Here is a 15,312-nt window from a genome sequence, read left to right as displayed (position 1 = left end):
TCAGCCTCCCAAAGTCCTGGGATTACAGGCATAAACCACCATGCCGGGCCTTGACTTTGCAATTCTTTTAATGCAACTCTCAATACACAAAGCCTATATTATGTTCCCTTCCCTAACTGCTTATTCTGTTTTACATCAAATTCAAGATTTCGAGCAATCAAATTTCTAACTAATGAGAATCTCAACTTTCTTCTACATATTTAGATAAACCTCGCTTTACTACACAACTCAGTAGTGGTTGGTCATACCAAAGCTTATCTGGTGGTAAAGAGCCATCTTGCACTAGAATCGAAACAGTTAGCTACTAAAGGCACAGTGAAAGTGAAAGAAGTCTGCCTTGCTCCAGTCTTTGTGTGAGAGTACATGTGGAGGGGAGATGAGGTGGGAGACAGTGGAGGAGGAATCCACATACGTGGTGCTCTTTTTATGAGACATCTTACTCTGTCACCCAGGCTGGAGTGCAGTGGCACCTTTATAACTCCCTGCATCCTTATACTCCTGCCTTGGCCTCATGAGTAGCTAGGACTACAGGTGCATGCCACCAGGCCTGGCCAACTTTGAGTTATCTATCCTGAGGAACGTAAAAGACTTCGGAGGAGAATGGAGATGGAATAGTGCTAAGTCTCATGGAAGTCCTTTCTTATTGAGGCACTCTAAACCAGGAAGACCAGTCTTCCATAGCTGGGACCACTGGGGAGTACCCCAACTAGATGGTAGCAGAAGTGTCTTCCCTGGGTCCTCTGGTCATACCCTCCACAACTAGAGGATCTTAAGAATCAAAGAACTAATTCACCAGAAAGACAGGAAAATGTGAATTGTTTTCTTCCTTCTGTTCTTGCTAAGCATCCATTTTAAAAAATCTATTTAGGGCCAGGCGCGGTGGCTCACACCTGTAATCCCAGCACTTTGGGAGGCCAAAGCGGGGAGATCGCTTGAAGTCAGGAGTTTGAGGCCAGCCTGGTCAACATGATGAATCCCCATCTCTACTAAAAATATAAAAATTAGCCAGGTGTGGTGGTACGCACTTGAAATCCCAGCTACTTGGGAGGCTGAGGCGCAAGAATCTCTTGAACCTGGGAGGCAGAGGTTGCAGTAAGCTGAGATCGCGCCACTGCACTCCAGCCTGGTGACAGAGCGAGACTCTGTCTCAAAATAAAACAACAACAACAACAAAACCTATTTAGTATGACTACAGTAACTGAAAAGATAAGCAAAAACATCTATTTTGAGATCGTAACATTTTTTCAAATCCATGAATTAATTAATTTCCAAAGTGCCATGACTTTTCTAATAAATAGTAAGTCTGATTTCAAATCCCTTGTCTTTACACTATACCACATGTCCACAGCCCAGAATGAGGGCAATCCAAGGATATGAGGCTGAATCTTTTCCCTGTTATCACATCTCACCCAACACAATAAAGATTATGAAATTATTAATACTCCATCAGTTTATTAATGCTCTTTATCCTTTACCTGCTCTGTTCACTCCCATCTAGCAGCCTATCAAATTCTCTGGCACTGCTTTCTCTATAATTAATATGGCTCCCTGAGATTTGAAGTTACTTCCCACTAGCACACCTATCAAATTGCCTTTTGCCTTCTAATTCTCCTCTATTTAGAAAGATTTTCTGACTAAGTGAAAATGAATTCTATCCATCACAAGTCTAATCAAAAAACTGCTGTATTATAGAAAAATTAGAACAATAAACAAAATAAAAACCACACTTAGATGCTTCCTAACATATAGAATACTTCTGAAGATAATGTATATAATTTTGATTCTCAGTGATTAGAGAGATTAAATTACTTCTCCAAGCCAAACAATAGGTGATGGAACTGAGACTACAGTGTGGCCAAGTCTGCAAATAGATAATACTATTACATGTTGCACTGTAAGATAATATCATTAAACCACTGTTTCCAGATGTGATGGCCACCCAGTAAAATCCAGATTTTCTAGTTATAATCCAGTTTCCTTAATTCTCCCATATATTTTACTCTGAAAGTGCTGAAGAAGGCACCACTCATTGGAAAATACCATCTTATATTAGAACGACATTTAAATGTTTTTAAACCAGCTTTCATATTGTTTTCCAATTTAATTTCACAACTACCTTGTGCATGAAGATGAAAAGAGGCAATTAATATTTTCTGAATGCCTGCTACATGAGGCCTCATCTTTTGAAGGCATAAATTAAGTACTTTACCTAAGTTATCTCATTTAATCCTTGCCACAGCCCTATGAGGTATCACTGTTCTCTTTTTACAGATAAGGAAATCGAAGGTTTATGAAGACAAGTCACTAACCCAGTGTCACACTGTTAGGCCAGGGAGGAACAAGGAGGAGGCTAGGTCTTCTGACTCCAATTGCAGTATCCTTTTCACTATTCAGTGAAACATTTTTACATGTCCCATGTAATGCCACATACAGACCTTATCACTGTCTTCTATCATGGAGACTTATCCCTCACTACTTCTAAGAATTGATCATGAACAAATCTGTAGGCTAACCTGGCAAGAAGAAAACAATTATTCAACCGGAGATAACTGAATACTGCCTGGCTCATAACAAGCACTGGAGACATGTTAGCTAGGCTTGCTATTATTATGGTAAGAACTGAATATTTTAATAAATATAAACATAAACCATATCATTAAAACTAGAAAAAAGTTTATTTCATTTTTATTTTACTTTAAATTCCTAAAATTCCTTCATATTCACACCACTACCACTTCAAAAATATAACACAAAGTTTTAAAGAAGTAAATAATACTGGCTCTTCAAAAGTTTTTCTTATTTTTAATATAACCGTTACATATAACAGTATTCTTTGCTTCAAATAGTTCCTTAATTCTAATAGAATCCCTCTCTAACACACGCCACATCAGTGTGGGGAGTCACTTTTTGTTTTGACTAAATTTCCCAAAACTTTACCTTTGGAAAATTTACAATAAGAGATGTACAAAATCATAAATATACTTTATAACCAAGACTCCCTAAAAACATTCTTACTCTCAACTGAAAACTACAACTCAAAGTGAATTCAATGAATAGCATCCATCTTGAAACAGAACTGTCATGAAAACAGCCTTGAATTACATGTCAAAACACTGAGGTTCAAGTCTCACCTCTTGAGACTAACCAAGTGATCTGCGCAAGTCCCTTAACCTTCTTGAGGCTCAGAGTCAACAATAGCCACCTTTCCTAACTTTGTAAGGTCACTGTGCTTATTAAAGGGATTGGGGACCTGAAAGGGCTTCTCACCCTTTCACTGAGGGAAAGAATGTTGGTTTCAGAATTTCAGTCAAAGGGCCAGGAGACTGGAGTATGAACTGATGATACTTACAAATCTGGCTTAAGTAAGCCCTGTGCAAATATTAAATAAGTGGGGAAGCTAGAAGAGAGGTGGATTCATTATCTTATCCAGACCTGGGCTAAGGCCTCCAACATACTTGAAACAAACTCCAAGCTAATATTCATACTACAAGTGGGCTTTGTTAACAGCTTTATAGAAATTGGATCACAATGAACTATTTATGGTTAAACCTCTTTTTTCCTTTTTTATTGGCTAGCCAGAAACACAACCACTGACTGTCATTTCTGTGGGAAACTGTGTTCCAGAATTTGATTCAGAGATCTAAGCACTGGGAATGTATCTTTCCTCCTCTAAGAGCTAACAGGGACTCCCTTCCCATTCTTGTTGGTAGAATCAGGAAGTTTCTTTCACTCTTCAGTCTTGTGGCCATTCAGATATGGGTTGTCAGATGAGGACTGTATGTGGTAACTATATAACCACCTTTCAATTTTGTGGGGCAGGGGGGTAGTCAAAACATTCCTATCTACAATCTCGTTTTATCTACAATTGCCCAATGAGGTATGTAGGCCAAGTACTATTATTACCCCATTTTAGAAATGAGGAAGCTGAAATACAGAAGTTACGTGACTTGTCCAAGGTCACAGCCTGGTAGAACATGGATTAGAAGCCAGATCTTTATTTCCCAGCTGGACATGCTTATCAATCAAATACCAACTGCTTACAAAATGGGAAGAGGGAAGTAAAGATGATTACGGCTTATTCAGACTTTATTTTTAACTAATTATATCTGGCTTTGTGAATTTTTATTAATTTCACTTTTCATTGCTGTCTGATGAGTTAGTCATGAAAACCATCAGATCAGAAAGTATAAATTTTTGAATTGTTTATTTACTTTCATTTTTTAATTTTTTTGTAGAGTCAGGGTTTTTCCGTGTTGCCCAGGCTGGTCTCAACCTCCTGGGCTCAAGCGATCCTCCCACCTCGGCCTCCCAAAGTGTTGGGATTACAAGTGTGAGCCACCAAGCCTGGCCTTAGAAAGTATAAACTGTTTAACATTCTTTCTTCATTGCTATATACAGATATTCAACTTTAAGTATTTCATAATAAAGTGACTCAGTGACAAAGCAGGCCCAGTCTACACCAGTCACTTGTTGAACTGTTATATGAGATTTATGCAAAATTCTGAGGGGGCAGGATGGTAGACAGGAATAAACCTTTATGAAAAAGATGACTAAAGTCAAAAGGTAAATGTGAATCTTATACACTTTTTCCTTCCAGTTTAAGCTGTGAGTTGGGAAAATAAATATAAGGAAAGTTTATCGCCATTTATTCCAAGTTTAGGTGGTTTAGAGGAGTTCACCAATTTAAATCAGCCTGTGGTAGGTGTTTTTGTGGTAAGAGAAAGAAGTAAAAAGTTAACAGGACAGAACAGTAAGACCTTGCCCTTATATAGCACTCTTACCTCCCAAGTACTTTCACATAATGTTATCTCATTTTTTTAATCAAGAAATCACTAGATAGGAGGGGCAGATATTATTACTAAGCTGATTTTGCAAGCGAGCATAGAGCCTATGAAAATTGCTTATGGCCACACAGCTATTCAGTGGGCAGGCACAGAAAAAAAAAATCATTAATTAAATTTAACTCTAACACTGGAAAATTTACGATTGTAACAGGACCATATATGACACTTTACATTATAAAGCCAAAACGGTTTAATTCTACATTCTGAGAGCAGTTCCATTACTATTATAAAACATGTAGTATAACATGTTCAGTTTCACCTACATTATTTATAGGTGCTTTAAGCAGTAACAAGAATTTCTTCCAAGAGAAAATTGAGCATATGATGTTTTTGCTGAAGCTTTTAATTTTCAAACAATTAAAATTTTTTTTACCAACTTCCTGAGAAGTATTGCTGCAGCTTTTCAAAACATGGCCTAACTATACTTCATGTGTCAAATTCAATTTCTGATTTTGCAAGAGAAGAACTCTTTGAGCACACCCAGAATTTATTCCACTTAAAGTTCCTATTTAGTATTTCATGTGGGCTTCTGTTCCATATAGGGGGCTAAAATAAACCTCAGGGTGACAGAAAGTGACCTGATGGGTAGAGAGGACTTGCTTCGTGGTACCAACAGCACTCCAAGAACCACAAATAGCCGAGGCAACTGGAAGGCAGGCAGAGAAGCATGTGAGACCTTGCAGGTATCAGCCAAGGGTAAGGTAAAAAGCAAGCAAGTCAGAATGTCTGGAAATCAATCCTGTGGTGCAATCATATTCTACTATTTCTGGTTACCGTTTCCGATTTTTTTTTTTTTTTTGAGACATTGTCTCACTCTGGCACCCAAGCTGGAGTGCAGTGGTGCAATCTTGGCTCACTGCAACCCTCCTGGGTTCAAGCGATTCTCATGTCTCAGCCTCCCGAGTAGCTGGGATTACAGGCATGTACCACCACACCTGGCTAATTTTTATATTTTAGTAGAGGTGGCGTTTCACCATGTTGGCCAGGCTGGTCTCGAACTCCTGGCCTCAGATGATCCAACCGCCTCAGCCTCCCAAAGTGCTGGAATTACAGGTGTGAGCCACCACACCCAGCCTTTACTGTTTCCAATTTTAAGTAATACTGACTTGATCTTTCTGAATATCAGCTTCCACAAGAAGATGACTAAATGATAATTTGAAGATGAAATAAAGGATAAAAGAGATCATTAAATTTAAAACTATTCATAACTGACTGCATTACTCTAACCCAAGATAAATAAACATAATGATTTTCACTAAAGAGTGCTGTATTATTAGACTTTTTTTTTAAAAAAGGAAGTCCAGAAAAAAATAAAATTCTTAAAGCTTTAGTGGTTTAAATATCACACTGGCCACAACACAAAAGAAGGAAAGTGCCACCATTACCAGAAACTTGATGCTGTGAGAGAGAAACAATGGAAAGAAATCCTCTCCATTCTCCCAAGGACAGTTCACTGGGCACTGGCTCCACTGCACAATGAAAGAACTTTTCCTTACCAGCACAGTTGCAAACTCACACAGGGGCTTGAAAAAATAAAATCCATTCACATACTCTCCATTTATATCCTTCTCGTTCTCTCGCTTGTCAGCAATGTATAGAGATTACACACTTGAACCAGAGCTGACAACCTGCATGTGATACATCAGAGGCATAAATCCAACACATTTTTCTCTCCCAATTACTTTTTCAAATAAGTGTTACTAATAAAGTAAATAAAAAATACTTAAAGATGTAAGCAAGATAGTTTAATAAACAGCATGATTGTGTACTCGTACACAGAGAGAAATACATTTTAGGGCTGAATTTCCTCAGTCTTCATTTAAATAAAATGTCTAAGAAAACACTGAAAGTTATTCCTGAATTAAAAACTGTGAATGTTTACTTGTTGTCTGGTTCTTATCTCTAGAATGACCCCCTCATCACTATTAATGATCACATATTAAAGGGTGCGGTATCTTTTTCATTGTTATAGACATAGGGAGGGTGACTATCAGGGAAGTTCAAATGCAGCTGGCCAAATGTCACATTGTTCACTGGCCTCTGCATTGGCCCAGTTCCCCTGATTCTGAACAATCCTTTCTGGTCACAACACTGACTATGAGCACTAACTTCCATACCCCAAGCCACCCCCAACCCCTTCCGAGGAAAGAGGCCCTTCCTTCAGCCTATCTCGGAACATCATCTCTAGCCTTTCCCGATGGTTTCCTGCTGCCCACTCTACTCTCCAAACTTTAACTTGAAATTCCCTTTCAGACAGTATTTGAATTTGGTCCAGAGAAATGAGTTCTTTACAGAACGTTCTAGGCAACCTTATAAATTAGTGTGACAGAACTGTTTTAGGTGCTTTCATGCTATCACTTTCATCCTTAATGAAACTCTGTGACCTAAATTATCATCCCTACTTTCAGAAGAAACTGAGGCTCAGAGTTAGAGTGCATGAAAGCCAGAATTTAAGCAAAGACTCTTTTCCCTTACTCTGAATTTCCTATGCACGTTTTTATTGTCTCTGTCAAACTATTTCACCGTTAAAATTTTTTTGTAGCTATTTGTGTACATATGTCAAGAGGCTTTTGTTTCTTTATTGGACTAAACATACTATTGGCACCAACTGAACAATTTTTTTTTTTTTTTGAGACAGAGTCTCACTCTGTCACCCAGACTGGAGTGCAGTGGCGCCATCATGGCTCACTGCAACCTCTGCCTCCTGGGTTCAAGCGATTCTCCTGCCTCAGCCTCCCAAGTATCTGGGACTACGGGCATATGCCACCACACCCAGCCGATTTTTGTATTTTTAGTAGAGACGGGGTTTTACCATGTTGGGCAGGCTGGTCTCGAACTCCTGACCGCAAGTGATCCACCAACTGAGCAATTTGAGACTAATAAGCAACTCCAGCAGTCCACCCTTATCCACAGGAGATACATTCCAAAACCCCCAGTAGATGCCTAAAACCCCAGATAGTACCAAACCCTGTATAGTCATGCACTGCTTAACGATGGGGATACTTTCTGAGAAATGAGGCAATGCTGTGGAACATCACGGAGTGTACTTACACAAACCTAGATGGAATAGCCTACTACACTCCTGGGCTCTATAGTAAGCCTATTACTCCTAGGCTACAAACCTGTACAGCATGTTACTATACTGAATACTGTAGGCAACTGTAACATGACAACTATTTATGTATCTAAACATATGTAAACACAGAAAAGGTACAGTAAAAGTATGATATTATAATCTTATGGCACCACCATCATATGTATGGCCCCTCGTTAACTGAAATATTGTTATGTGGTTCATGACTGTATGACTATGTTTTATCCTATACATACATACCTACAATAACGTTTAATTTATAAATTACACACAGCAAGAGATTAACAATAACTGATAGAAAAATAGAATAATGATAACAGTATACTGTAATAAGTTATGTGAATATAATCTTTCTTGCTCTCAAAATGTCTTATTGTACTGTACTCACCCTTCCTCTTGTGATGAAGACAGGACAGAGCAGCAAGGCACAAGGTTTCATCACACAACTCAGAATGAGGTGCTATTTATTTATTTGAACTGTTTATTTCTGTAATTTCCTGTTTAATAATTTTGGACCAGAGATGGCCACAGATAACTGAAACAGTGGAAAGTGAAACTGTAGACAACCAGTGACTACTGTGCTTTCAACTCCACGCTGAAAAATGCATTCATTTTACACTGAATTTTAACATTTACTGATCCATTCCCCAGTCCCAGTTCAGTCTATTTCCCCATCTCTCTTCTGCAGTTAGCCCATTCAGCACCACTGCCAATTAGTGGGGAAAGGCCTAAACCTCAAGCTTTTTAATACTTATTAATTACGTGAAAATTGTGAGGTTGGAAGGAAGTTAAATTGACATCTAAAATAAAGGTTTAATGCTGTATGTGGACTATCTACAATGTCAGAAATAATCAGGAGTTTGCTGTGTTAAGGAACATTCATATCATTTGGGTAATTCAAAGAATTAGCTGCTAGGATGGCCTGGTGCCACTGAGGCCAAGGTGTTTAATAATCACACTGGGCGCCTCAGTACCTACCTGGAGTGCTGTGGTCAGCCTGGCCCTTCAAAGGTCCATATGCGTTTCCTGCCCATTCTGCTGCTCCTGTGTGTCTCCTGCCTCTTCTGTAAGCCCCTCTCTTCTTTTCCTCTCAAACATTTCCTTCTCTCCTTTTTCTCATATCATCACTGCACAGAGGGGTCTTCTTTGCTTCAAACACAGACTAAGCATTCACCGCATGTTTTTAAAAACTGTCCCTTCCTCACTGTTGGAGTAATGCAATGGAGAAAGGGCCTGGCCCTTTCCTGACCTTCAACATGGAAACATCTTTAAGGCTCATTTTGGAAGGGAGTTCGACATACTTCCCAGTTTTCTGGATGCCACAAGAAACTCTGCCACAAAGTGCTGGACCTATCTCACAGCCTCCTTCGTAAAATTAGGGGGTTGAAACCACAGCAGCACTTCCCAAAGTGGGTTCTGAAGAATATCAGTCCCTCCTCCAGAGAGATGTTCTAGTTAACTAAGTTTACAACATTTCTGAATATCCTCTTCCTTTGGAGAATCACATTGCATAAAAGCACATTAAAGGCTTTGGAGTCTTTAAGGAAATTCTTTTAATCAAGCATTCCCCAAACTTATTTGACCACAAAATCCTATTTTCCTATTATACTTATTCACATCCTGATTAATTAGTATTATGGGGCAAACTCTTGAAAATGCTGCACTAGAGGCACATTAAGGCCCAGTAACAGTTTTATAAGTCTGATTAAAACCCAACATTTAATAACTCCAAAATACTATGATGGATTTCTATGAGGTAACGGTGAAAATCAGTCTCAATATAACATATCTTCACCTATTAGCAGCTATGTTACTTCGAAACCTAAGAAATTTTATATCTAGATTATTTCTTATAGAGGTAATTCAATTAGTGGGATACTATATTCAGAACTAATTGTCTCTGTCTCTGTTTATTAGGCAAAATGTTACCGAACACAACCTTAATTTGAGAATAACTGTACAGGGAGTTCTAAACCACCGAAATAGAAGTTAATTACCAGTAATCACAGAAATAGACACATTCCAAGTGTCTGAAGAGTGAATACCTAAAGTCAACTTTCTTTCTCTGGTTAATTTCCACACCTGAGCAATGTTCCTACAGATGAAAAGCTCACATATAACTCATTTGAAAACTTTTGATAAGAAACATGTTAAGAGTTGTCTATCACTGTAGAATGCCATATGCAGCGAGTAGAGAAGAGGTGAGTCTCCTAGTACTTTCCCCTCTGGCTCGAAGAGCTTTTCACTAATTTCACTCTCCTGTCACCTCCTGCCTTTTTGCTATTCTGCTGACAAGAGTAATTTATCTCATGCTCAGGAATCTCCTGTCCTCAAATTTTATAGCCACCGAACGAATTTCCCCCTCCTTCTTCTTTTGTCAATGATTCACAATGCCTAATAGAGTGGGGTATATTCTTATATTCAGTCAGTAAGTGGTCATATATAATAGGTTACATCCTGTGGCCTAGAACTGCTCTCAGGTACCATAGAATAAATTATTAGCTTTCTAAGGGAGAAATTCTTCCCAAATTTGGTTTAACTAAAATGGTAACTTCCAACCTGCAAGATACCCTATAGAATTTCATGTTAAAGTAGTGGATATTAAGGTAACTGCACAGTAAGAAAAAGGCACAACTTACCAGGTGATGAAGGGTGAACAGCAAGGAGGCACAGGGAAGTGCTATGTCAAAAACAGTCAAAACTAGTTGCATAATGAGAGAGCTGAGATAAACTATACCTTTGACCCACATTGTTCCTTTATTATATCTAAGATTGCTTTGGTTTCAATAGCATACATCAAGTACATTTCTTCTCTTCTAACTCTCAACACATTAGTTTTAAAAGGCATATAAAATGTTCAGGTTAGCATATCAAGTGAAAAACCACACTACATAGGGCATATCCATGAACGAATTTATAAAAAACAATACAAATGGACCAACCTAGCACCTACTTGCTCCAGTTAAGAAGAAAAATATTCTCCCTCACCAGGCTTCTAGTAGGAATTGTTATAAGATATTGACTTAAAAAAACAAATATGTAGCTGTAATCCAATATAAATGCTTTAAAATCTTATACAATTTATAAGATGCAAGAGCATAAAAGAGGGTATTAGAGGAAAGTGAAGACATACTTGGATTTTTCAATAAATTAACATCCAGAAGCAGCACATACCAAAAGAACAATATACAGGTAAATTCTGAAAATTCTTTTTTTTTTATCTTTTTGAAAATTCTTTTAAGAGGTAAAATGTCTTAAAACTACACAACTAAGGATCATAATAAAAACAATAAAAGCTGAAGTATAATGTGACTCTCAAGCTTTAGTTACTTTTGCTAAACTCTGAGACTATACTGGTCACCAAAAACATTTTTTTTTTTAAAGAGATGGAGTCTTACTATGTTGTCCAGGCTGATCTTGAACTCCTGGGCTCAAGTGATCCTCCCACTTCAGCCTCCCAAGTAGCTGGAACTACAGGCGTGCGCCACCACACCTAGCTGAGAGGATATATATTTTATCATCAATTGCTAAATATATATGACAGTAATCTCTGAACTTGTTGGGTCATTCTCATTTAGCTACATTCCCATCATTTTCCCTGTGAGAATTAAGGTTAGAAAAACATTGCAAGGACTACCCCCATGATAGTGGTTGGATTTGTTACCTCTTATCTGAAAAAGCACATACCTAAAAATGGACGTGAGGATTCCCTGAACTAAACTGGTGTTCACTCTCCAAACCTACCCTGAGCAATTTGAAGCCCACAGTTTGGAACTATAGGTTTAGTTTAAAACAATCATAAACATATAATCAGAAACACACAGTACTACCACTGGGTTTATTTAATAGTCAATAAAAAGTCTCATTTTAAGAGAGATAACCCCTGTTTAAGAAGTAGGATATTGATAATAAAATAATTCTTAAATCAACTACTGCCATGACTTGCATTACTAAGCATAGTTCCTGGCACATAGTAGGCACTCAAAAATCTATTACTAAATGAATCACTGACCAATCTTAGGTTACTCAACTATTCTATAAACATTAACTTTCTATATATAAAGGTAGGCCTTCTCTGGCCTAATTTTCACAATAAGTCTTTGGATTGATTAAGGCACTCTGAAGCTGACATCAAGACAATCAGAAATAAGATGCTTCCATTTCATGCAAAAGTTACACAGAATATATATTTCCCATGTTGAGACTCATTTGACTTGAATCTTAAATATCATTTCCTCCAGAAGGAGTCTCCAAATTCTTCCCTGCCCTGAAGACATTATTGCCCCTGGGTTATTAACTCTCCCTGAATGCTTTATTTTTAATTTGTAGCACACACCACAGCAGTAATTAAATAACATTTGTAAAATATTTGTCTTCTGTTCTGGACTTCGCATATCCTGAGGTGAAGGTCACATGGACTTTGCTGATTGACTTCCTATTTCTTGCAACTAGAAGTGCCTGGCACATGGCTGTTCAGTAAATATTTATTCAAAGATTTATTTGAGTATTTATTCAAATGTTCATAAATTTATTCATTTATTTATGAAAACTGAAAAACAAAAAGCCAGCCAATAGTGTCTCTTCAATGTACTTAATAAAAGCGTAGAAAGCAAGGGAGGAAACATCAGGTCATCAGAAGTCTAGTGTTCAGAACATCATTCTGTTCTCAATATGAAACTGAGAAAACAGTTTTTCCGTGGCAGTAATAGTGATTAAAAAAAAGTGTGTATCTGTGTACTGTCTTATAGCTCTAAAAACACTTTTATGACATGTTGGTCTTATGACTGAAAATATCAAAAAAGTTCATATAGAACTCTCTGAGGATCTAAATGCAGTTTTTAAAGAGTTGTGACAGGTATAAAACCCATTTAACCTGAAAGTTTTTATAAATGACTTAGAGACTATCTGAGAATTTTTTTAGTGTTCACTGCATAATATTCTCTCAACAAATTAGCTGGAATGAGTCCTTTTTTTTTTTTTTTTTTAACTTTCAGAGCACTAAAATAGATGCCAATTCCAAACAAAATCTTTGGGCACTGTGGAGTATAGTAGCCCTGTTTTCTTGAGAGACAACGGAAGGTAACCTGAGAACTTCTGCTAATTGCCAAAGGGACTTCCCAGGGATTGTTGGTAAGTTGACCCATACCTCTGAGGTTCCAAAGAAAACTTCCAAAACTTTTCAAAAGGAGCATAATCTTTAGAATTCTGAGAAGATGAGAGTGGAAGAGAGATGTCTATTTAAATAATAAATTCAAATGCTCTTTAATGATTAAAAAAGTTTTTAAATCAACTTTCTATGACTATGTGAAAATTCATAAACAGAAAGACCACAGGGTAGATTTGAATCTAGGCAAATATTATAGTAACGGAAGTATCGCAATTTGCAAAAGTCTATGACAGAGCAGTGGGTTAAATGGGACTTGTATGGCTTCCCATTAATTGCCTTTTAAAAAAATAATCTTATTTTAAACAACTCATTCATTTCAGAGGCCATGAACACCTTGTGCAATAATTTAAGTAGCCTATACTTAATCCTATATGACTCTTGAATTCCAGAATAGGACAGGTCAAAGCCAAAAAAATACCCTGAAATAAAGTGAGCAAAACAAAATACTTGCTTTTTAGAAGATTTTGTTCCATCTCTCTAAGGGGTTCTGTTTGGAAATCTGAGTTTGCAATAATATATTATCTTACAGCCCCATCAAATTTGATGAATGCCAAAGCATTTTGATATACATTATCTAATCTGATTCACATAATCATTCTGTGAAATACACAGGGCAGGAATTTCACAGACAAAAAACATGAGTTTTCAAGAGGTTAGGTTTCTTGACCAGGGATCATAACTTAGAAAGTAGAAGAACCAGGGCTGGAAAAGCTTCAGATCCCTAGACCATTGCTATTTCTAAACAAGTATATTATCCCGGCCCCTCCCAAGCTGCTGTTCATTCTTATCGCTCACTAAAACAAGCAATAAGATAGCAGTATCCTTAGCTTCAAGTACATAAAGTGATGTAAAACATTTCCCTCAAAATGGTCATATCCCCATATAATATCAAGTCTTAGAAACCTTATGAAATTGTGATTTATTATTCTTGGTCTGGTATCCAGCTTGCATAGAAAGCATACCTTTGTATCATAAAAGAAAAATAACTATGTTTTTTCTTCCTATAAAAGAACAGAGACCTTCCTGATAAGCATCGGAATCACTAAATCCAAGTTGTTCCAGTCTATTCTAGTGTGAGGTTAGGGCTGAAAAGTGAGATAAAATCTATCTTCCCTGTTCGAGGATAATGAGATGAAACCTCAAGATGAAAGAAATGTTGTTAACTACTGAATGTGAGAAAGAGTGAGAAGTTTTAAACTTTTTTTTAAATGAGTGACTCAATGTCCTGAAGGGGGAAAAGTTCAATTCTTTTTTTTTTTTTTTTTTTTTTTTTGAGACGGAGTCTCGCTCTGTCGCCCAGGCTGGAGTGCACTGGCGTGATCTCAGCTCACTGCAACCTCCACCTCCTGGGTCCAAGCGGTTCTCCTGCCTCAGCCTCCTGAGTATCTGGGATTACAGGTGCATGCCACTACACCTGGCTAATTTTTGTATTTTAGTAGAGACAGGGTTTCACTATGTTGGCCAGGCTGGTCTCAAACTCCTGACCTCAGGTGATCCGCCTGCCTCGGCCTCCCAAAGTGCTGAGATTACAGGCGTGAGCTACCGCGCCCAGCCAAGAGTTCAATTCTTGATGTAAAAATACCTTAAGTATCTGCAAATCCTAGAGTTTAATAGGGAAAAAAAATCAACATAACGTTCTTTGACTCCAAAATCTTGTTTTCTTATCTGTAATATACACTGTGCTATTGCATTTGCACAGTATGAAAGTTAAAGATAGAAAGGCTTATCAAGTAAGTGCCACATAATGTAAGGGTCAAAGCAAGATTGATCCATGTAACAAGCCTAACTCTAATCTTTGGCAGTAAACACTTGACTTTCTTCTATAAAGTCAGCCTTGTTCTTTTAAGTCAGTGGTTTTCACCCTTGAATGCACATTAGAATGAGTTTCTAAAAAATACTAGTGTCCCAGTCCTGCTCCAGACTAATGAAATCAGAATCTCTGAGAGTTCAGAAACTGGCTGGTTCTAGGGTTCGGCTGAAATTGAAAGCCTCTAGTCTAAGTGCCATCCAGTTTCAAATATGATGTCAACATAACGGCACTGTCATATTTTCCTATGGAAGAAATATTCATAAGACCAGGACTAACAGTCACAATAGCCAGAAACGTCAAAATTTTACAAGCTGAATGAGTTTATTATTTGGATATAGGTGATATTCTTAAAGTTAGTCAAATACTATAGTTAAATACTAACCATTAAAAAAAGCTT

The 15,312-nt window shown here is 37.5% G+C and overlaps 1 protein-coding gene across 16 annotated transcripts in view, besides 2 other annotated features; it reads right to left on the bottom strand.

The window, feature by feature from the left end:
• The window catches only part of NSMCE2 (NSE2 SUMO ligase component of SMC5/6 complex), a 275,261-nt gene that overhangs the window by 199,686 nt on the left and 60,263 nt on the right, over window positions 1–15,312 (bottom strand). For 2 of the 16 annotated variants that reach the window (NR_146191.2, NR_146192.2), the window contains exon 5: window positions 11,337–11,435. The exons of the other annotated variants lie outside the window; for them this stretch is intronic. The gene's annotated coding sequence lies outside the window, so the exon portion shown is untranslated. The remainder of the gene's footprint in view (window positions 1–11,336; window positions 11,436–15,312) is intronic. 16 annotated transcript variants of the gene reach the window in all.
• Window positions 184–233: an enhancer, noted in NCBI's record as "active region_27903". NCBI's record gives its function as "activates an Ori minimal core promoter by ATAC-STARR-seq in GM12878 lymphoblastoid cells {active_cell/tissue: GM12878}" and the evidence as "EXISTENCE:reporter gene assay evidence [ECO:0000049][PMID:35858748]".
• Window positions 254–503: an enhancer, noted in NCBI's record as "active region_27902". NCBI's record gives its function as "activates an Ori minimal core promoter by ATAC-STARR-seq in GM12878 lymphoblastoid cells {active_cell/tissue: GM12878}" and the evidence as "EXISTENCE:reporter gene assay evidence [ECO:0000049][PMID:35858748]".

The sequence above is a fragment of the Homo sapiens genome, chromosome 8, assembly GCF_000001405.40.
Source record: "Homo sapiens chromosome 8, GRCh38.p14 Primary Assembly".
NCBI lineage: Eukaryota > Metazoa > Chordata > Mammalia > Primates > Hominidae > Homo > Homo sapiens.
This window is presented reverse-complemented; position numbering and strand designations above follow the sequence as displayed.